The sequence below is a fragment of the Homo sapiens genome, chromosome 11, assembly GCF_000001405.40.
Source record: "Homo sapiens chromosome 11, GRCh38.p14 Primary Assembly".
Taxonomy (NCBI): Eukaryota; Metazoa; Chordata; class Mammalia; order Primates; family Hominidae; genus Homo; species Homo sapiens.
In genome coordinates this window covers 56,134,154-56,158,242 of record NC_000011.10, presented here as the reverse complement: position 1 = coordinate 56,158,242, position 24,089 = coordinate 56,134,154, and the positions used below count along the sequence as shown (strand labels likewise).

General features: G+C 37.3%; 1 protein-coding gene and 1 pseudogene across 1 annotated transcript, besides 1 other annotated feature; both read left to right on the top strand.

Annotated features, from left to right (window-relative positions):
• Positions 4,755-5,954: an enhancer, noted in NCBI's record as "MED14-independent group 3 enhancer chr11:55919765-55920964 (GRCh37/hg19 assembly coordinates)". NCBI's record gives its function as "activates an origin of replication core promoter dependent on BRD2, BRD4, P300/CBP and CDK7 cofactors, and independent of MED14, by STARR-seq in HCT116 cells {active_cell/tissue: HCT116}" and the evidence as "EXISTENCE:reporter gene assay evidence [ECO:0000049][PMID:35650434]".
• OR8K4P (olfactory receptor family 8 subfamily K member 4 pseudogene) lies at positions 14,857-15,728 on the top strand (annotated as a pseudogene).
• Positions 18,042-23,522, top strand: OR8J3 (olfactory receptor family 8 subfamily J member 3). The gene is made up of 2 exons (NM_001004064.2): positions 18,042-18,070; positions 19,746-23,522. The coding sequence occupies exon 2, from the start codon at positions 20,525-20,527 to the stop codon at positions 21,470-21,472; it is 948 nt and encodes a 315-aa protein (NP_001004064.1). The 5' UTR covers positions 18,042-18,070; positions 19,746-20,524; the 3' UTR covers positions 21,473-23,522.
• The last annotated feature ends 567 nt before the right edge of the window (positions 23,523-24,089 follow it).

Here is a 24,089-nt window from a genome sequence, read left to right as displayed (position 1 = left end):
TTTTTGGTCATAAGTATATCTTCTTTTGGAGTTGTCTATTCATGACCTTTGTCCACTTTTTGATGGGATTATTTGTTCACTTCTTGCTGATTTGCTTGATTTACTTGTAGATTCTGGATATTAGTCCATTGTTGAATGTTGTAGTCCGAAAGAGTGAGGGTTGTGATCAACTCAGTATACCACTGGAGGCTATATGAGTAAACAGCAAACTATTCTCGTAAATGCAGAATGTTGGCAAAATGACAAACTATGTCTGATGCCCAGAAGGAATGCTGAGGGTAGTCATGCCCTAGGCACAGTGTTTCTTGTGATTAGGCACATCGGAAGCCTGTTAGCAATAATGTGAACCTGTGATCAATTAAGCAGCTGACCAATCGTTACCTCCTCCTCCTTGCTGTTTCTACCCAATAAATACGAAGGGCTGTAGAATCTCAGGGCTACCTTTGCAGACTAGAAGCAAGGAGCCCTCTTCTTCTTCCCCGGACCCTCTCTTTAAAATAGTTTCTCATGTTCTAAGTTTTCATTTCTGTGTTCGTCCTTCATTCAGTCCCATGGTAACCGTAGTAAGAGTGGCAAACCATGACAGTTAAATGCATAGTTTGCAAATATTTTTTTCCATTCTTTGGGTTGTCTGCTTACTCTACTGATTATTTACCTTGCTATGCAGAAGCTATTTAGTTTAATTAGGTCCCATTTATTTATTTTTGTTTTTGTTGCTTTTGCTTTTGGGTTATTTTTCATGAACTTTTTTCCTAAACCAATGTCTATAAGAGTTCTTCCAATGTTATCTTCTAGGAAACTTATGGTTTCATGTTTAGATTTAAGTCTTTGATCCATCTTGAGTTGATTTGTGCATAAGGTGAGAGATAAGGATCCAATTTTATTCTTCTACATGTAGCTTGCCAATTATCCCAGCAGCATTTGTAATAGGTTGCCCTTTCCCTACTTTATGTTTATGTTTGCTTTGTCAAAGATCAGTTGGCTGTCTTTGGCTTTATTTCTGGGTTCTCTATTCTGTTCCATTGTTCTATGTGCCCATTTTTATACTAATACCATACTGCTTTGGTAACCATAGCCTTATAGCATAAAGTCTGGTAATATGATGCCTCCAGATTTGTTATTTTTGCATAGTCTTGCTTCAGCTATGCAGGCTCTTTTTTTGTTCCATATGAATTTTAAGATTGTTTTTTCTAGTTCTGTGAAGAATGATGATGGCAGTTTAATGAGAATTGCATGGAAACTGTAGATTGCTTTTGGCAGTATGGTCATTTTTACAATATTGATTCTACCCATCCATGAGCATGGGATGTTTTCATTTGTTGGTGTTGTCATTGACTTCTTTCAGCAGTGTTTTGTAGTTTTGCTTGTAGAGCTCTTTCACCTCCTTGGATATGTATATTCCTAAGTATTTTATTTTATTTTTTGCAAATATTATAAAAGAAATTGAGTTCTTATTTGTTTCTCAGCTTGGTCATTGTTGGTGTACAGCAGTGCTACTGATTTGTGTACATTGATGTGTGTATCCTGAAACTTTACTAAATTCACTTATGAGATCTAGGAACTTTTTGAATGAGTCTTCAGGGTTTTCTAGGTACATAATCATATCATCAGTGAGTGATGTTTTCTTTGGCTGGGGTTGGGTTTCGTTTGTTCTTTTTTCTCTATTCTCTAAAATGTGACCTTGGATTGTCTATTTGTGCTCTTTCAGACTTTTTGGTGCAGGTATTTGATGCTATGAACTTTCCTCTTAGCACCATTTTTGCTGTATCTCAGAGGTTTTGATAAGTTGTGTCACTATTATCATTCAGCTCAAATAATTTTTAAATTTTAACCTTGATTTCATTGTTGACCCACAGATCATTCTAGAACAGATTATTTAATTTCCATATATTTGTATAGTTTTAAGGTTTCTTTTTGAAGTTAATTTTATTCCAATATGTTCTCAGAGGATACTTGATATAAATTTGATTTTCTTAAATTTATTTTTTAATTAATTAATTCAAATTTGTGAGACAGAGTCTTGCTCTTTTGCCCAGGCGGGGTGCCAAGGGCATGATCTCAGCTCACTGCAATTCTCTGCCTCCAGGGTTCAAGTGATTCACCTGCCTCAGCTTCCCAAGTATCAGGGATTACGGGCACACACAACTACTCTCAGCTAATTTTTTGTATTTTTAGTAGAGATGGAGTTTCACCATGTTCACCAGGCTAGTCTTGAACTCCTGACCTCAAGCGATCCATCTGCCTTTGCCTCCCAAGGTGCTGGGATTACAGGTGTGAGCCACTGTGCCAAACCATATTTTCTTAAATTTATTAAGACTTGTTTTGTGACCTATCATATGGTCTGTTGTCTTGGAGAATGTTCCATGTGCTAAAGAAAAGAGTGTATATTTTGCAGTTGTTGGGTAGAATGTCCTGTAAATATCATTAAGTCCATTTGTTCTAGGGTATAGTTTAAGCCCATTGTTTCTTTGTTGACTTTCTGTCTTGATAACCTGTCTAGTGCTGTCAATGGGGTGTTGAAGTCTCCCACTATTATTTAATAAAACAAAAATTACTAGACCTAAGAAATGAGACAGACCATAATCTCATTTAAAGATAGACACTGTCTATTTCATTTCTTAGATCTAGTGATTTTTATATTATAAATTTGTGAGCTCCAGTGTTAGGTGCATATATATTTAGGATTGTTACATTTTCCTGTTGGACTAATCCTTTTATCATTATATAATATCTCTCATTGTCTTTTTGAAGTGTTGTTGCTTTAAAATCTGTTTTATTTGATATAAGGATAGCTACTTCTGTTCACTTTTGGTTTCCATTTTGGTGGAATATCTTTTTCCACCCCTTTACCTTATGTTTATGTGAGTCCTTATGTGTTAGGTGAGTCTCTTGAGACAGTAGACACTCGATTGGTGGATTTTTTTCATTCTACCATTCTGTACCTTTTAAGTGGAATATTTATGCCATTTACATTCAATGTTAGTATTGAGATGTGAAGTAATGCTCTATTTATCATGCTAGTTGTTGCCAAAATACCCTGTTTTTTCCATTGTGTTATTATTTTATAGGCCTTTTGAGATTTACGCTTTAAGTAGGTTTTATTTTGGTATACTTTGAGGTTTGTTTCAAGAATCAGAACTCCTTTTAACATTTCTTATAGTACTAGCTTATTAGTGGCAAATTCTCTCAGGATTTCTTTGTCTGAAAAATCTTTATCTCTCCTTCATTTATGAAGCTTAGTTTTGCTAGATACAAAATTCTTGGTTGATAATTATTTCATTTAAAGAGGCTAAATATAGGACCCCAGTCCCTTCTGGCTTGTTGGGTTTCTGCTGAAAAATTTGTCATTAATCTGATAGGCTTTCCTTTACAGGTTAGCTGATACTTTTGCCTCACAGCTTTTAAGATTCTTTCATTCATCCTGACTTTATATAATCTGATAACTATGTGCCTAGGCGATGATCTTTTTGTCATGAATTTCCCAGGTGTTCCTTGAGCTTCTTGTATTTGAATGTCTAGACCTCTAGCAAAGCCAGGGGTATTTTCATCAATTGTTTCCCCAAATAACTGTTCCAAATGTTTGTATTTCTCTTCTTCTTCACAGACACTAGTTATTCTTTGGTTTGGCCATTTAAACATAATCCCAAGTTTCTTGGAGGCTTTGTTTATTTTTTATTCTTTTTTGTCTTTATCCAATTGCATTAATTTGAAAACCTTGTCTTCTATCTCTGAAGTTCTTTCTTCTGGTTGTTCTAGTCTATTGTTTAAACTTTCCACTATGTTTTGTATTTTTCTAAGTGTGTCTTCCATTTCTAGAAGTTTTGATTGTTTTTTTCTTTATGATGTCTATTTCTCTTCAGAATTTTTCATCCATATGCTGTATTTTTTTTAAAAAATGTCTTTAAGTTGGTTTTAACTTTCTCTGGTATCTCCTTGAGTAGCTTAATAATCAAACTTCAGAGTTCTTTATCAAGCAATTCAAATATTTCTTCTTGTTTTGGCTATTGTTTGGAAGCTGGTGTGAACTTTTGGGGGAGTTATAGAACGATTTTTTGTCGTATTACCAAAATTACTTCTCCCCCTTTTTTTTCTCATTTGGGTAGACTGTTTCAGTGGAAAGGTCAGGAAATCGAGGTCTGATGTTCAGATTCTTTCATCCCACAAGGTGGTCTCCCTGATATGGTGCACTCCCCCCTTCTCCTAGGGATGGAGCTCCTGTGAGGCTTACTGCAGGGGTTGTTGTTGCTCTTCTGGGTCCAGCCACCCAGGGGACAACCAGGCTCTGGGCTGGTGCTAGGGAATGTCTGCAAAGAGTACTGTGATGCAATCCATCTTCAAGTCTCCCAGCTGCGGATACCAACACCTGCTTTCTTGGGGTTGGCAGGGAGTGAAGTAGACTCTGTAAGAGTTCTTTGTTGTAGATCTCTTTAGTGTGCTGGCTTTCTCAAATGCCGGTTATGCTAGCAGTAAAATTGTCACATGGACAGACTCAGGACCTCTGGTTAACCAGGAATTTGCATGCAATGGAATTAGGTGTTGTCTTCTTTTCCCTGAGATTGAGGTTATTCTGTCATGAGTTGCTTGTTGTATTAGGATTCTCTAGAGGGACAGAACTAATAAGATGGTTGTATGTATGAAGGGGAGTTTATTAATGGGTATTGACTCACACAATTACAAGGTGAAGTCCCACAACAGGCTGTCTGCAAGCTGAGGAGCAAGGAAGCCAGTCTGAATTCCAAAACCTCAATAATAGGGAAGCCAACAGTGCAGCCTTCAGTCTGTGGCCAAAGTCTTGAGCACCCCTGGCAAACCACTGGTGTAGGTTCAAGAGACCAAAAGCTGAAGAATCTGGAAAATGATGTTCAAGGGCAGGAAGCATCCAGGACGAGAGAAAGATGAAGGCCAGAAGACTCAGCAAATCTCCTCTTTCCAATTTCGTATGCCTGCTTTATTTAGCCACACTGGCAGCTGATTAGATGGTGCCCGCCCAGATTGAGGGATGGTCTGTCTCTCCCAGTCCACTGACTCAAATGTTAATTTCCTTTGGCAACACCCTCACAGACACACTCAGGAACAATAATTTGCATCTCTCAATCCAATCAAATTGACAATATTAATCATCACAGTTGGCCTCCAGCCAGGAGGTGGTGCTTTCAAGAGAGCACCAGCTACAGTAGTTGTAGGGGGAACTAAGCTTGCCCTAAGTTGGCCAGGGTAAGTATTTTGGTTTCTTAGGTAGTAGGAGGGGCCATAAAGCTCTCAAGAGTTTCAATGTTTTGTGTTCAGCTACCAGGGTGGGTAGAGAAATACCATTATCTGGGGACAAGGTTAGGCAAGTCTGGGCTTAGACTATCCTTGCGTTGGGCTTGCTGCAGCCACTGTAGGTAATGGGGGAATGGTTCTTGAAAGGCAATGGAGGGGCACCGTGGATCAATAAGGCCAAGAGGCGAGACAAAGAGGGCAAAAATCTTCTTTAGTGAGTTCTCGGGCGAGGTTCACTGGTCTGCAGGGGGAGGGCCAGGGAAGTCGTGCTGTGCCAGAGGTGCAGCGCACTTATATGGATGCTGGGTGGGGAGTGGGCAGGATAGGGGCGGGGTCGGTTGAGTTTCCCACTTCTGAGTGTGGCATGCCCTAGTGGGCATGCGCGTTGGTCCAGGTGGCAGGAACAGGAAGGGTGAACCCGGAAATGCTGAGTCAGGGTACCTGAGGTGGCTGTCGGGAGGGCAGGAATAAATGGCGGGAATAAGCGAAAATGCCAAGTCAGGGTGGCCAAGATGGCCACTGGGATGGCGGGAACTGGCGAATCCGGGAGTGCTGAGTCAGGGTAGCCAAGATGGTTACCCATCGCCATCTTGGAGTCTTCACCGGAGTCCAATCAGTTCTCAGGCCAATGGGGATCTTGGCCACCTTTGCTATGCCATATAATTCACTCAGGAAGTGGGGGATAGCCTGTTGCCAGAGGTCCCACACAGCTTTCACGCAGTTGGAAACACTGGTCCTACTCTTGCAGTGTCCCCCAGCTCAGACCTTGCTCCAGGCTGTGATCTACCCAGCTGAGAAAGCAAGCATGGCTTTGGACCTCATCCCTCCCTATCTACCCACTCCATCAGCAACTCCTGACCTCCTACACTCATATCTGCAGCAGCTCCTGCTCATCCTCTGGACTCTGCTCGAGTAAATTGCTGCCCAGTCAAAACCACTACCAATTGCAGCTGGAAGCTTTCTTCACCCTGTGACCACTCCCCAGTTCTTCTGGCTGCCTTCTCTGATGGACCCTGTGAGATACAGTCAGGGATAGCTTACTTGGGTTCAAGCTGGAGACTGGGAATGCCTGCAAAGCACCATCCACTGCTGCTTCTACTTTTATATTTTTGTACAACTTCGTAAATCCATTTTAGTTCTAGGTAAGATTAAATCCTTCTCCCGTGATCTGGGTTTTCAGATTTTCCAGTGATAATGTGTGTTTAGAGTCAGGGTTTCCCCCTCTCACACTTTGGGAACTCAGTTTTTTGCTTGTCTCATGGAATTTGCAGTAGTGTGCTGTTTTTTCAAAGGGCCTATTGAGGGAGGAGAAAGGAAAAAACTCAGTCAGGCAGGTAGTTAGGGCGGGTCCTCAGTTGACTCCTTTCAAACAAAAGAACAGCCTGCAGGCACAGATAAGAGAACTTGCACAAGGGGGCTTGCCTAAGACATCCCCATAGCAGTACAGATAAGAAAGACTACACAGGTGACTTTCCCATACATGCCTGCAATGGAAAATTCCATCCCCTGACACATGCATAGTAAGGGGAACAAAGCAATATGGAGTAACTCAAGCTAAGGGCCCACATGTGCACTAGGAGGACAGGATGAAGCTACCAGAAATTTGTGCCTTGTGCAAATGAAACACCCCAGCCCTCATCAGTGCAACCATCTTCCAGGTCTCCTCTCCACAGTGGAGAACTTTCTTCTTTTGCTTATTAAACTTTGACTCCAACCTCACTTTTTGTGTCCATGCTCCTTAATTCTCTTGGTCCTGAGACAGAGAACTTCAGGTGATACCTCACATCAACAGACTACTACGTTGTGGTGCATGGGCATGACTGTAGCACTATGTATTCTTTTGGTTTTCCTGATATGTTTCCGCAGTAGTTCTAAGAGCAAAAAATCGTGGTATGATTCTCCACATGCTGTTCTGTCCGTCTAAGTGTGAGCTACACGTTAGCCCTGTCTCCTGCCAATCATCTTCTCCACTTGATAATATTTTCATGTATAAATAATTGTATTAATTTGGGCTTGAGAGCAAAAACTGATTACAACACATCTCACAATACTCTGTCATCCAACAGCATATAGCTGGATCACATCGTTGTTGTTTACATTCATTCTACTATCCGTACTTTTTAATTATAATTACTGAGTTTAATTCATGTAAAATTAAAGAAATTGTGGACGATAGAGGACTTATTACTGGTATATTGCTACCTGTTTTTTCTTGTTTGTTTTGTTTTTTTTGAGATGGAGTCTTGCTCTGTCGCGCAGGCTGGAGTGCAGTGGCGAGATCTCGGCTCACTCCAAGCTCCGCCTCCCGGGTTCATACCATTCTCCTGCCTCAGCCTCCTGAGTAGCTGGGACTACAGGCACCCGCCACCACGCTACCTGTTTTCTTTATGTCATATATATTAATGTTTGTTCATCCTTTTCTCCAATAGGTTGTTTTCCTTATATTCAGCCAAGTGAAACATCATATTTTATATCTCAATTATGTGTCATCTCTTTATCAGCATATTTTGCTGCTGATTCAGCGTTTTCTTCAGTGATTCTATAGAACCTCATATTTCTCCTCTTCAAAATACTTTTAAAAAGCTACATCAGTACACTATGGGTGTGTTAATAACATTTTTTTCTTTATTGAATATACATTTTTCCAATTATTTTTTTTTAATTTTCCAGACATAAAACAACAGTATAAACAAAGTAAATCTATTCCATACCATATATAGTTGAATCACATCATTGTTTTAATTCATTCTACTATCTCTGCCTTTTAATTGGAGAGCTTAATTTGTGTACATTTAAAATAACTGTGAATAATAGAGTACTTCTTTCTGGCATATTGCTATTTGTTTCCTATATGTCATATCTATTAACGTGTGTTGTTCATCCTTCCCTCAATTACAAGTTCATCTTGTTTTTGTGGCTGAACATTAAATTGTGGGTGGTTATAAGGAACATACTCAAGTATATTAAAATAATGATCAGGGAATATAAGCTGAAAAATTCCCAGAGACTGCACAGGGCAGGAAGACATTCGAGTTAAGTCAATGTAGAGTGAGTCCTTGTTCAATAAATGGGCATTTGATAGAAACCTCAGAGGTAAAGTCTGCATTAAACTCTAATCATACACCTTCAAACAAGTCACAAAAGGAGCCAACTGATACTTGTCTTAAACATTTAACATTATTTTAGAGAAACAAACCAGCAAACAAATAAACTTATGGCATCCATTAACATAAAATTCACAATCTTCAGCATCTAGTCATAAATACTAGACATATGGGAAAAGAGCAATGGGTGAGCCTATCCATGAGATAATTAAAATAAAACAGAAAAGACATAATGATAGAATTAGCAGGTAAGGACTCTAAAATAACTGTTATAAATATGTTTAATGTATTGAATCATTTAGCAAAATTAACACTGTAAGAAAACAAGTGAAAATTAAAAAAAATAAAAATATGGTAATTCTAAAGGTGGAACTTCAAGCTAAATATCCATCAATTCATGAAAGGACAACAAAAACAGGTGGTATATACATACAATGGAATACGGAGGGTCTTCGTAAAGTTCATGGAAATATGAGATGTCTAAACAAGACCTAGTCTGATACACTAAGAAGGATAAGCCATTACTTTGAAAAGAGCCCCTGTCAGAGCAACATGAATTCTGCTAAAGCAATAAATTTTGTCAAATGTGAGTGGAAGAATGGTGGAATTACCGATGCTTTACAAAAATTTTGTGAGGACAATGCCCTCCAGAGAAATCAGCAGTTTTTTGTTTTTTTGTTTTTTTGATACGGAGTCTCACTCTGTTGCCCAGGCTGGAGTGCAGTGGCACGACTTCGGCTCACTGCAACCTCTGCCTCCCTGGTTCAAGCAATTTTCCTGCCTCAGCCTCCTGAGTAGCTGGGATTACAGGTGCCTGCCACCATGCCCATCTAATTTTTATTTTTAGTAGAGACAGGATTTCACCATGTTGGCCAGGATGGTCTCGATCTCCTGACCTCATGATCTGCCTGCCTCGGCCTCCCAAAGTGTTGGGATTACAGGCGTGAACCACTGCACCGTGCCTACAAATGTATCAATCATTGTAATCAGGGATAAGATGATGATAAAAGAAGAGCTGAAGCTCTCAGAGACAAACCATGTGCATTAATTCACAAGGAAAAAAATTCATCCTGTTCATACCCTACTTGAAAAGGACTAGCAATTAACAGCAGAAACAGTAGCCAATAACATTGACATCTCAATTGGGTCAGCTTTCATAATTTCTGTGTAAAAAATTAAAGTTGAGCTAACTCTTTACCATTAAAAACCATTGCACCCAGATGAGTTGCAGACAAGAGCAGAGCTCTCAATAGAAATTTTGAGGGCTGGGTGCAGTGGCTCACTCCTGCAATCTCAGCACTTTGGGAAGCTGAGGTGGGCAGATCATGAGGTCGGGAGTTCAAGACCAGCCTGTCCAATATGGTGAAACCCCTTCTCTACTAAAAACACAAAAATTAGCCAGGCTTGGTGGTATGCGCTTGTAATCCCAGCTACTCAGGAGGCTGAGGCAGGAGAATTGCTTGAATTCAGGAGGCGGAAGTTGCAGTGAGCGGAGATCGCACCATTGCACTCCAGCCTGGGCGACACAGGCTGGAGTTGCCTTTCTCTTTCTTGGGAAAAAAAAAAAAAAGGAAATTTTGAACAGGTGGGATTGAGATCCTGAAGGATTTCTTCAAAGAATTGTAACAGGAGATACAACATGGTTTTACCAGTATGGCCCTGAAGATGAAGTACATGAGATAAAAATTACAACAGGAGGTAAAACATGGTTTTAGCAGTATGGCCCTGAAGATACAGCACAATCAATCCAATGACTGCCAATAGGGGGAAGTGGTTCAGACAAAGCAAAAGCAGACAGGTCAAGAGAAAACATCATGGCAATGGTTTTTTTGAGACACTCAAGAATTTTGCTTGTTGGTTTTCCAGAGGGACAAAGAAGATAGTATCTGCTTATTATAACTATGTATTGACAGAGAGTTAGCCAAAGTTTTAGCAGTCAAATACACAGGAGAGCTTTACCAGAAAGTCGTTCTCCACCAAGACAAGGCTCCTACTCATTACTCTCATCAAACAAGGGCAATTTTGTGATAGTTTTGATGGAAAACCATTAGGCCTCCATCCTACTGTCTGATTTGGCTCCTTACGACTCTTTTTTTTTGTTTGCTAGTCTTCAAAATTCTACAATGGAAACCCATTTTGTTTCAATTAATAATGTAAAAAAGAATGTATTGACATGGGTAAATTTCCGAAACACACAGTCCGTCAGACATGAACTAATTTTGACTGGTGTCATCACTTACAAAAAGTGTCTTGAACTTGATGGCACTCACGTTAAAAAAAAGTTTACATTTTATTGTTATCCTTTAATTCAATTTTGCCATGAGCTTTTATTCCTCTTTATATTATTTCACCATCAAAAAGATAAAAATCCTATTATTTGCAACAACATGAATAGAACTGGAGTACATTATGAATACAATTAAAGCTCAGACTTCACCACTATGCAATATATCTACACAACAAAACTGTACTAGGACCCCTTAAATTCCTACAAATAAACAAAAAATGTTCTGAAGAGATCAGATATATTTTTCCACACAAAAATAAAGGTAAAAGAATCCAGAAGTCTTCAGAGGAAGGTAATAACTAACGTTGGAAATGAAGAAAAGCTAACAAACACTAGAAGAATTCTTAGCAAAATTTAAACACTTCGAAGTGGTAAGATTGGTGCTGGAAATCTGAATTCCTTTGATCAATCCAGTGTACCTCCTATTCTACAATAAACCCTATGATAGCAGGCCCTGAGATTTTGGAAATTCAAAATAAAGTTTCCAAAAGGAGTTTCTTTCTAGTTATTGCTTGTAAGACAGGAAGAGGCCAGAAAGGAAGAGTGAGGCTCTACGGAGAAACAGAAGATGGCTTCATCTGGGAAGAAGGTTGTAAGTGGCTCACTAGCTCTCCTGTATTGTACTCCCCTTCTGTCCTCATTCCCTGGACAATGTGGAACAGCCTATACATATGAATTATCAGATCTTAGAATCGCTACCACCTGCCAGTTAGCTCCAGGCTCCAGCTGCTCCAGAATGTAGATGTGGACCAAGGGGTTGTCTCCCAAAAGTTTCTACCTGATAGTTGTGCAGGCTGATGATGGCATTCGGTTAAATTATAATTCTATTCTGCATTTTATCTAACTAAATATCTTGAAATCCAATTACCTTTCCGATTAAAAAGTATCCAGGCTTTCACTGAGTTAACAGTGAATGTGATAAGAGGAGAATCCAAGAGATTAGGAAAAAGCCACTTCATTATTTTTAATTAGACCAGTTCCACTTTGATTGACTGACTGCATGTTAATTTTGTTAAATGGAGAGGCTGTACTTATTACAGAAATATTTGTAAATCACAGTGTTATACTCTATAAATACCAAAAATAATTGCATAATTCCAGAAATAATAAGATATTAATTCGTGATGTAATACATTTAATATGTATTATGTATACATATGCAATATGTCAATTATATGTGTGTAAATATCTATTATGTAATATGCATTATGAATACATTTAGAAATATATGTATCTATGTATTTACAGACTGGGTCTCACTCTGTTGCTCAAGCTGGAGTGCAATGGCACAACTTCACTGCAGCCTGGAACTCCTGGGCTCAAGCAATCCTCCCACCTCAGCCTCCTGAGTAGCTCGGATTATAGGTGTAAGCCACCGCACCAAGCAAATAAATATTTGTGTATGCTTTATAGATGTTATTATCTCCATATCATTATATAAAAGGAAATAAAGTACATAAAATAAATTATCACAAACTATGTTTATTAAATATAAATAATTTATTTTAGCCAAATATAATCATTTATTTAGCCATAAATATAAATCATTTATTTTAAACACATCTTGTGTGTCTTGACACTTAAACTAATTTGGAAGTTTACTTCAAGAAAATACACTTACAACTTGAGACATAAATATAAACATTTATTTACAATAAAAATATTTAATTTTTTCAATTTCAAATTAATAGTCAAAAATCATAAAATCTATAACTATAATAATTTTATTTTAACCATTTTTTTTTTTTGAGATGGAGTTTCACACTTGTTGCCTAGGCTGGAGTGCAAGAGAGTGATCTTGGCTCACTGCAACTTCTGCCTCCCAGGTTCAAGTGATTCTCCAGCCTCAGCCTCCTGAGTACCTGGGATTACAGGCACCCACCACCACAACTGGCTAATTTTTTTGTACTTTTAGTAGAGATGGCATTTCACCATGTTGGACAGGCTGGTCTCAAACTCTTGACCTCAGGTGATCCACCTGCCTCGGCCTCCCAAAGTGCTGAGATTACAGATGTGAGCCATCACGCCTATTAATGAAATTCCGGAAACATCTCTGCATACTATGTGGTAACAGCACTCTGGGTAGTCATTTCTGCACCAGAATAGATAGCATTATTAAATAATAAATGTCATCGATTTTTGAACGATATGAATATACCCACTAAACATCAAGTAAAGTATCATTAACTCAATCTCCTTTTGCTTGTACCCTACAAATGCCTGCAGACATGATAATGCACTATGATATCAGTTAAAGTGTGATAGGTGGTAGTCAGAATGGGAAGAAAGGTGGGCTTAATTGATTGTGGTTAAAATATCTTGCTTTTGCAACTTTGGCAAAGATGTACTTCATTGTGAATTTATTACTAAAGTCCCACCCAGGGAGCAGAGAGGGGCCTAGATCTTAACCTTTATTAGCTGCATGGTATCTCTGACTCTTTAAGAATATAAAGTTCCACCAAAATTGTCAAACATAATAGAAATGTACTAAAGAAAAACTGTGATACCATTATGTAGAGGAAATAAAGTCTAATATTCATATATTGATACACATAGAGCTTTGCTATCAATTGATATGCACATTCTATTAAGAATTTAATATATGCTGTGTCAATGCAATATGTTATATTTATCCCTGCATTTGAAAAGTAGAAGATTCTATCATTTTTTTTAGTTTTAGAATCAGATGTTTAGAATTAGTTATTTATATTAAGTTATATTCGAATTATACCCTATTATAAATAAAAAAATTTATTCTGTTCTGTTCACAAACATAATAAATTGTTTGAGTGATACTAAATGAAAGCTTATAATACCTGTTTCCTCCAAAAAGGTGTAATTGGACTAAAAGGGGCAAAATAATCTAACAGTGAAGACTGACTTTAATGAAGTCACAGGATGCCTCAGAATTCCAAGTAGCTGGGATTACAACAGACATGCACCACCATGTCTGGCTCATTTTTGTATTTTTTTTTTTTTTGGCCAACTATTTAATTATTTGTTTATTTATTTTTTAATTAATTTATTTATTTTTATTGATCATTCTTGGGTGTTTCTCGCAGAGGGGGATTTGGCAGGGTCATAGGACAATAGTGGAGGGAAGGTCAGCAGATAAACAAGTGAACAAAGGTCTCTGGTTTTCCTAGGCAGAGGACCCTGCGGCCTTCAGCAGTGTTTGTGTCCCTGGGTACTTGAGATTAGGGAGTGGTGATGACTCTTAATGAGCATGCTGCCTTCAAGCATCTGTTTAACAAAGCACATCTTGCACCGCCCTTAATCCATTTAACCCTGAGTGGACACAGCACATGTTTCAGAGAGCACAGGGTTGGGGGTAAGGTCATAGATCAACAGGATCCCAAGGCAGAAGAATTTTTCTTAGTACAGAACAAAATGAAAAGTCTCCCATGTCTACTTCTTTCTACACAGACACAGCAGCCATCTGATTTCTCAATCTTTTCCCCACCTTTCCCCCTTTTCTATTCCACAAAACCGCCATTGTCATCATGGCCCGTTCTCAATGAGCTGTTGGGTACACCTCCCAGACGGGGTGGTGGCCGGGCAGAGGGCCTCCTCACTTCCCAGTAGGGGCGGCCGGGCAGAGGCGCCCCTCACCTCCCGGACGGGGCGGCTGGCCGGGCCGGGGGCTGACCCCCCCACCTCCCTCCCGGACGGGGCGGCTGCCAGGCAGAGACGCTCCTCACTTCCCAGACGGGGTGGCTGCCGGGCGGAAGGGCTCCTCACTTCTCAGACGGGGAGGCTGCCGGGCGGAGTGTCTCCTCACTTCTCAGACGGGGCGGCCGGGCAGAGACGCTCCTCACCTCCCAGATGGGGCGGTGGGGCAGAGGCGCTCCCCACATCTCAGAAGATGGGCGGCCGGGCAGAGACGCTCCTCACTTCCTAGGTGGGATGGCGGCCGGGAAGAGGCGCTCCTCACTTTCTAGATGGGATGGCGGGCGGGCAGAGACGCTCCTCACTTTCCAGACTGGGCAGCCAGGCAGAGGGGCTCCTCACATCCCAGACGATGGGCAGCCAGGCAGAGACTCTCCTCACTTCCCAGACGGGGTGGCGCTAATTTTTGTATTTTTAAGTAACAGGGTTTCACCATGTTGGCCAGGCTGGTCTCGAACTCTTGACCCCAAGTGATCCACACATCTTGGCCTTCCAAAGTACTGGGATTACAAGCATGAGGCACTGTACCCAGCCAGCTTAACTTCTTGTGATGTCTCCCTCATCACCTACCTGATCACAGTGATGAGCAACCTGGGCATGAATATTTTGACCAAACTAGACTCCCACCTATACACACCTGTTGTATATTTTTTAATCAAACACATATTTTTCATTGATTTTTACAATTGTATTGTTATTTACACCAATAAAATGTTAAATTTTGTTGTGGATCAGAATAACATTTCCTATTATGCATGTGCCACACATATGACTTTCTTATGTTCATTATCACTGAACTTTTAATCTTGGTAAGCATGGCCTATGATTGCTATGTGGTGAACTCCAACCCTTTGTTTTACATTGTTATCATGTGTCTGTGACTGTAACATGTGCTGATGAGCATTCCATACCTCTGTAATACATTTCAATCTCTAATTATCACAATGACCTTTTTTTGACCTTCTGTAGCTTTATCATCAGTCATTTCTATTGTTATGATGTTCTCTTCTTCCATATGCTATGCTCAAATGCACAGGAAAGAGAATTGTTGATCACACTGCTTACAGCATTTAATTTGATCCCTACCTCCTGGTATTGCTAGTGTTAAACATTCTGATTTTGTTAGCCATATGTTGAATGCATTCTGCACTGGGCAGGAAAAAAGCTTTCTCCATGTGTGGTTCTCATCTTACAATGGTGGTTATGTTCTATGGATCTCTACTTTTTGATATGGATAAATGGCCTCCTTGTTCTACACTTTAATGATCCTCAGGTTTAACCTCTTGATCTACAGCTTTAGCAACTTAGGGGTTAAAAATGTCTTTTATAGAGTCTTTAAGAATTAGTGCAAACTTTGTCTTTACAGTACACTATGGAACATTGTTCCAATAAATTATGAGAAAATATTTATCACTTGATAGTGTTTCTAATAGATATAATTACATTCTTTATGACTCTACAAAAAGAACCATTTTAACACTTCAAAAATAGATTGTTCTCATTATAATCAGCCAATTAACCCTCATATTATAGAATTCAATTAAAATACCACTTCCTTCGAAAATGTCTTTCTTCTGATTTACTATTTTCTTTAGTGATCTCATACCTTATATTCTACCAGTGGAACACACATTAAGCTACATTTTAGTAAGCTATATCTTTATTTTGTAGGGGTTTTGCCTTTTTTTAAAATAGGATGTACATTCTCAATCTTGTTTTCATTTTATTTAAACAAAGTGAGTCAGACTCATGCAGATAGCATATATTTGGATCACGTGGTTTTTTTGGTTTGTTTAATTTATTCTGTCAATTTCTTTCTTTTAATTGGAGAATGTAATCCATGTCCATTTAAAGTTATCACAGATAATGGAGAACATCCTTTTGGCATATTGCTATTTGTTTCCTATAGGTCCTATCCTTATTGTTGGTCATCCTTTCCTCCATAAGTTTTCTTGAGATTTTGGCTGAACCCTAGACTTGTGCATGACATAAAGCTGTTAAAAGAATGACCAGGAAATTGTGTGCTGAAACATTTCATAGAAACTACACAGGGCAGGAAGACATTAGAATTCTAAAAAGTCATAGTGGAAAGTCCTTTTACAAGACATAGACATCCAGTAGAAATCTCAGGAACAAAGCTATTTTAAACCCCTTTGCCAGCTTGAAAACAAGTCTCGAATAGAGTCAACTGATAACTGACAGCACGACAAGGTGACTAAAGTCAATAATTACTTGTACATTTTAAAACATTTATCATTCTTTTAGGAAAACAAATTAAAATAAAACACAGCAATTATTCTTATAAAATTTACAATATTCAACATCCAATCACAAATTCTAGTCCTATGAGAAAGCAGCAGTGTGCAACCTTCAAAATGTTATTATAGATGTTGGATATACTGAATGATTTAGCACAAATACCAACACTGTGAGAAATAAATGAAAATACAATATTACATATGAACAAATATTTATTGAGTAAAAAACATACACTGAAAAAGAAAAGATGTGACTTGTCACAATAGACACTCAAAATGAAGCCAGAGAGAAACATAATACTAAAAACAAAACCCACTGAAACAGTCTCAGTCAACTATAGAACAATAACAAGATACCTACCACATGTTTAATTATAAGGTCTAAGTGGAAAGAAAAAACTATATTATAGGACAAGAAACAGGGAAAAAGATGTTGGCCAGAATTTCTAAGTTTATTTTTTAATAATGATGAAGATACAACAGGATAAAATAACTCCAAGCAAAATAAACAGAAAGAAAATGATGCCAAAGTGCTTCACCATCAATTATAAAAAATTTAATTATAAAAAATTATAAAAAATTCTTCAAAATTGCTAGTGATAAAAGATATAAACGAATGAAGAAATGTTTACCACTGATACATTGGCAGAAAAAATAAAAGTCATGACACTATGACACTTTCTTTGTTTTTTTTTTTTTTTTTTTGAGACTGAGTCTCCCTCTGTTGCCCAGGCTGGAGTGCAGTGGTGCCGTCTCGGCTCACTGCAAGCTCTGCCTCCTGAATTCACGCCATTCTCCTGCCTCAGCCTCCCAAGTCGCTGGGACTACAGGCGCCCGCCACCACGCAAGGCTATTTTTTTTATTTTTAGTAGAGACGGGGTTTCACCATGTTAGCCAGGATGGTCTCGATCTCCTGACCTCGTGATCCGCCCGCCTTGGCCTCCCAAAGTGCTGGGATATCAGGCGTGAGCCACCGCGCCCGGCCAAAGTCATGACACTTTCTTATGTCAACCAATAACTATATGTCTGGTAGAATTATACCATAATCACCAAAAGTATTCTTTGTCAATGGATGTTGTATTATCAAATTTTGCATGTTTTTTTCTAGAAAATTTTTTCTCATTTACTAACAAATTGCATATATGGGTGTCTGTGTGTGGTATACTTAATATGAGCAAAATACTGTGTAACCAAAATGCTGACAAAGTCATATTTATAATTTCCTGTGTTTAGTCATATTGCATAATTCAATTATTCAGTTAGACTGAAACATAAAATATTATGACTTTTTCTAATGGAAAATTCTGAGAATAATTAACAAATATCCAAGGCACTCTCCCTCAGGTAATTATGTACAATTTTTTATCCTTGAATCAGATTGAAACTTCAACTAAATGAGTCTCAAGGGTTTTAGAAAAAAACCTTAAATCTATTCTGTAGCCACCTGTGAGGGCTAAAGAAGTAGAAAGCAAAGCAGATTCTCTGTTGAAGTAAGTAGAAACATTGATCATTGACAATTTTCAAGGGCAGAGTTTAAACTAGGTTATCACCAAAGATGTTGAAGGCCCCTATACTCTGCAAAACTATTTCCTCCCTTGCAATATAGGGCTATTAACTTAATGTTTCATGCTTTTCAACTATTTTTAACAAGGATCTTTGTCTATCATTATTTACCTAGTGCCCCTCCTGTCCTATTCTCATTTCCTATCTATGCACGTTACAGCATTTATAAGAACATATTCTAAAGGCAGGATAACTTTATCTGAATGAAGAACAGATGTGGCATAGGCCATATTTTTTCCCAGATACGCATTTTCAAGAAATTAATTCTTGCCTGGAATCCTGGAATGCCCTTCCTGTGACTGATTAAATAGCTAATTCCTTCTCCACCTTTAGGTTTCAATTCAAATGCCACCTTCTCAGAAGAGCCTTCCTTGTAAAAGTATTAATATTAATATTCTATGTGATAGTACTCTCCCAGGTTATCCTAGTATATTATCTTGTTTGTTTTACCTATTATGCTTATTTAAATCTGCAATTATTGTGTTTATATGCCTTCTTAACAGATTTTTCTCTTCCCTATCATTACAATAACATATTCACGATCTGAGGGTCAGGTAATTTATCTGAAGCTCGAACATAGCCTGGAACAAAGTAGAATTTTAATAAATATGTGGAAAATAAGAGGATAATTCACAGAACCCACAGGAAAAATTTATGCTTGGTATCATCAAACAAACTGGTACCAGATATCCAACAACGTTAGGAGTCATTTTGGTGTTATTTCTCTGTTTTCTTTTTTTAAGTAGTCACTTCTTTATTTTTTCTCACTGTAGAATAATCATTTGTTTCTCTTTCTATTCTATCTCTTTTAGAAGGAGAGAAACTGAATAGCTCTGGGCTTTTAAAATTCAGATCTGTGTGATAATATATTCTTAACTTTCTGGAACTTAATTGTGAACTTTAAAATAAAGAACTATATGATAAGACTTATTTGGACCAGGTGCCCACCACTGGAACTATCAATTGTGACTCCAACAGGACATGAATTCACTTAGTTAGGGGCAAATAATCATGATTAAAATATACAACTCTAGGAAAGTGTTCATCCATACTAAAATAGCACGCTGAATCTATGGCAAATACATGCAACATAATTATCATAAAAACCCTCAAAATGAAGGTGTTTATTCCTGTTACAATAATATAAATATCAAAAAACGTAAAAAAAACAGATCAGCTAAAATTAAGAGCAGGTGTATTGTGTAAATTTAAGAAATATAACATTTTATAAACAAAAAATTGAATTAAAAGAAAAATCATGAAAAAAACACGGAGTATTGTACGAACTTTTAGCACAAGGAAAAGAATAGTCATGAGAGGGAAGAAATAGAAAGTAGTACCCAGGAAAGCATAATGTTGAGGAATTACAAAAATGATAAAAATCTTACTGATTTTTTTTTTTTTTTGAGACGGAGTCTCGCTCTGTCGCCCAGGCTGGAGTGCAGTGGCGCAATCTCGGCTCACTGGCGCAATCTCGGCTCACTGCAAGCTCCGCCTCCAGGGTCCACGCCATTCTCCTGCCTCAGCCTCCCGAGTAGCTGGGACTACAGGCGCCCGCCACGACGCACGGCTAATTATTTTTTTTTGTTTGTTTGTTTGTAGAAAGGGGTTTCACTGTGTTAGCCAGGGTGGTCTCCATCTCCTGACCTCATGATCTGCCCGCCTCGGCCTCCCAAAGTGCTGGGATTACCGGTTTGAGCCACCACGCCTGCACAAAATTTTACTGATATTATTTATGGAAACCTAAGAAGAGAAACAGCTACCTGAAAAATAGATCTGAAGAGATTTATCCATGTATTTTTGTTTGAGTTAATAAAATGGAAAGAGAAAAAGTAGTAAACAAACATGCATGTTGTAATTTGCAAGCTCAATATAGATCTAATACATGTTATAAAAGGATATAATTCTTAAAATGAAGAGTATAGTACCTAGTCTTGAGGCAAAGGAAGAATTATCAGATTAGGAAATTGCAAGTAGCCATTGGATTATTTGGCGATATACAATTTCTTAAGCCTTTCTCATGATCAGTGCAAAAATCATCAGATACATCCCAGCTTCAAATGTTTGTAAGCTAAGAACATATTCTTAATTCAATTACACTGCAAGGCAGTAAACCCTCAAAGTGTTGCAGGATGCTGAAACAACTATTTACTTTGCCATACTAAATTTACCATACTTGCTTTACTCTCTCCCAAGTGATTGCAAAGCTGATTTATTAGACTGAGAATACTGAGTTTAATAACTGAATTAGATTAATACATGACAAGAAGATCACACCCAGGAATTGTCCTTGCCATCTAGTGGAAATCCTAGAAAATGATTCCTTAACGTCTATAACCACTTATTTTCTTCCTCAAACAGATGAATTTCCAAACTCTGACATGGCTCCTGAAAATTTCACCAGGGTCACTGAGTTTATTCTCACAGGTGTCTCTAGCTGTCCAGAGCTCCAGATTCCCCTCTTCCTGGTCTTCCTAGTGCTCTATGTGCTGACCATGGCAGGGAACCTGGGCATCATCACCCTCACCAGTGTTGACTCTCGACTTCAAAACCCCATGTACTTTTTCCTGAGACATCTAGCTATCATCAATCTTGGCAACTCTACTGTCATTGCCCCTAAAATGCTGATGAACTTTTTAGTAAAGAAGAAAACTACCTCATTCTATGAATGTGCCACCCAACTGGGAGGGTTCTTGTTCTTTATTGTATCGGAGGTAATGATGCTGGCTGTGATGGCCTATGACCGCTATGTGGCCATTTGTAACCCTCTGCTCTACATGGTGGTGGTGTCTCGGCGGCTCTGCCTCCTGCTGGTGTCCCTCACATACCTCTATGGCTTTTCTACAGCTATTGTGGTTTCACCTTGTATATTCTCTGTGTCTTATTGCTCTTCTAATATAATCAATCATTTTTACTGTGATATTGCACCTCTGTTAGCATTATCTTGCTCTGATACTTACATACCAGAAACAATAGTCTTTATATCTGCAGCAACAAATTTGGTTTTTTCCATGATTACAGTTCTAGTATCTTATTTCAATATTGTTTTGTCCATTCTAAGGATACGTTCACCAGAAGGAAGGAAAAAAGCCTTTTCCACCTGCGCTTCGCATATGATAGCAGTCACGGTTTTCTATGGGACAATGCTATTTATGTATTTGCAGCCCCAAACCAACCACTCACTGGATACTGATAAGATGGCTTCTGTGTTTTACACATTGGTGATTCCTATGCTGAATCCCTTGATCTACAGCCTGAGGAATAATGATGTAAATGTTGCCTTAAAGAAATTCATGGAAAATCCATGTTACTCCTTTAAATCAATGTAATTTTAGAGCTCTATAAATAAATGAAGAGATAGTTCATGTAACCTGCCATTATGTAAGAGAAATAAAAGTAAGTTTACAAGCAATCCTAAGAATTACCAAGAGGTAAGATTTAAAGATCATTGAATTAAAAAAAATACATGGAAACATTTTGAGTTATGAGAGTAATACAAAACAAAAATATTATTTATTAACTTTGCCCAGAAATAATCAGGTAACCAGTTTGAATAAAATATTTTCAGGAGTAAGGAGCATATCAGTTTTTAAAAGGTTAAGTTTTAACAGAGCAACAAAATAGGAACAAGAGAATTAAAGTGAATATTTTTCATTCTGTGGACTCCTTTTTTTCTTTCTGGGTATGATTGGTAGAGTGGATGCCTGCATCTTGAAAAACTGTAACTACAGATGACTAAAATCATTTTTACAACAAAGTTAACAAATTTGAACTGACAATAATATTTAAAATAAAGCTCTTTAACTCTTAATATTGTTTGAATATACAATAAAGACATACTATCAATTAATACATATTTTAAATCCTCATTATATAATTGAAAATATTTTATTCCAACTAATATATTTTCTGCAATTTTTAAATAAAATGCTCAGACTACTATCACTGAATATGCTTTTATACTGGGTTTGCTTTGTAAACATCAGATTTTATAAAAATTTCCTTTTCTCCTTCCTCTAAATATCATTCATCCTTCATAGGTAAAACAAATGTTCTATTTTTGTATATTAATAAACTTTAAAAAAACTTGTTCATGGGAGTTTCTTACATCATCAGAAATATTTTTTGAATTTTTGTTCTTTTTTTCTGATAGTTTTTGATCAGTAAGTGTACACTTACACCTATTGTACAACTTATAATATATAGGAGTAATCAGACTTATAGGATATATCCCAGACTTATCAAATAAAAATCATAAGGCAAAAGTCAAAAAACTCATATTAAAAGTGCCAATGGGGATTCTGGCATTGAAACTTAGGAATATATCCTACAAATAAAGAACTAGACTGAAAGATACATATGGAAGATTATGTTGACATTCTGTGTGTGTGTTCAGTTTACTTGTAAGTAGGTTCTTGTGTTAAAGAGTTCCTTCAGGACTAAAGGACCAAAGAAACTAAATCTTCAGTCATGAATAATTATGAATAATTATGATATGGTATGAATAATTATGATATGAATAATTATGAATGATATGAATAATTATAATATTAAAAAGGAAACAAAACACAACTCTACAGTACAAAATTAGACTCAAGTAACTGGAAAAGTAGTGATTGGATATCTTTTAATTTGCCTTGGTGTTGAGATATTCAGTCTACTTTTCACGCCAATCTTTCTTCCACTTAGTGAAAGAATGAAAAGGCAGGAAAAAGCTATCTTGTTTGCATAAGATGAGATTTTTGAGGTAACATAATCACTTTTCCACAGTCCCAAATTCATTCCCATTTTTACTGTGCATTACATTTCCATCATAATTTTTTTTTTTATAAAAGGTCATCTTTGGATTCCACTGAATACGTTTTCTAGTTAGGCCTTCTATTGAACAATGGAATAATATAACCACATGTTTAATAACAAAATTTGTTCCACCAAACTCAGTTTTTATAAACTATTAACAAGGTCCTCAAATGACAATTTTTAGATTTAGGAAGAAATGCTAGAAGACCATAAAATTGTTTGTAGCCAAATATGACAAATGAAATATAATGAATTTTACCAGATCTATATATATTGATGTCGGGTTTTTAATTAAATTTTCAACCCTAAATATTATAATGCAATGAAAGTTTATCAGTTGAAAAATCATTGGTTTACCTAGTGCGATAATAAATGAATGGAGTACTATTTATGTGTATGCATGTAATAATCTGGGAATTCCTAATGAAGAAGAATTATCCTTCTTCGAAATTAATTTGCCAGAAATGTTTGGGCATCTATACTAGCCTGGTATTGTGAAGAGTATTCCAGAAAATATGACTTTATTTTGATGCTAAAGTAGGGAAAAATATTAAAACACTGAGCGCTTAATGATAAAGTCACTTCAGATGTATGTTTTTTTTCCTTTTTAATAAATTTTGTGTTATGCAAACTAAAGGTGCTATGAGTACAACTTTATTTGGAAGGAGATTTCTGGGTATCTTAATCTTCAGAGGTTTCTTCATAAAAATATTCAATCCTGTCTGTTTTACATGTCCTGTCTTCTGTGGATCTCCACACTTGGGTGTCCTCTATTACTTTCATTTATTGCCCAGCTTTTTTTAAAAAAGTGTTGCATATTTTTTTAAATGCAATGTTTATAGTAATGAAATGATTCACTATGAATTTACCATATATATATATATATATGTATATATATATATATGAGTGTTTATCCACCACTATTGATATTGCAAATTAAAAAGCAGGTTTATAAAAATATTATTTATTAAAGGAAATGAGAATTTTGAGCTAGGAAGGAGTGAATCCTTACAATGGTAAGTCAAAGAGATGTTGTTTCCTGCCAAATGATGTGATGTGAGGAGATGTGACCAAAGATGATATCAAGGATGAAAAGCTAAAATGCCAATAAGAATGGAGTGAGATGGAAAAACAAAATGTAGGAGG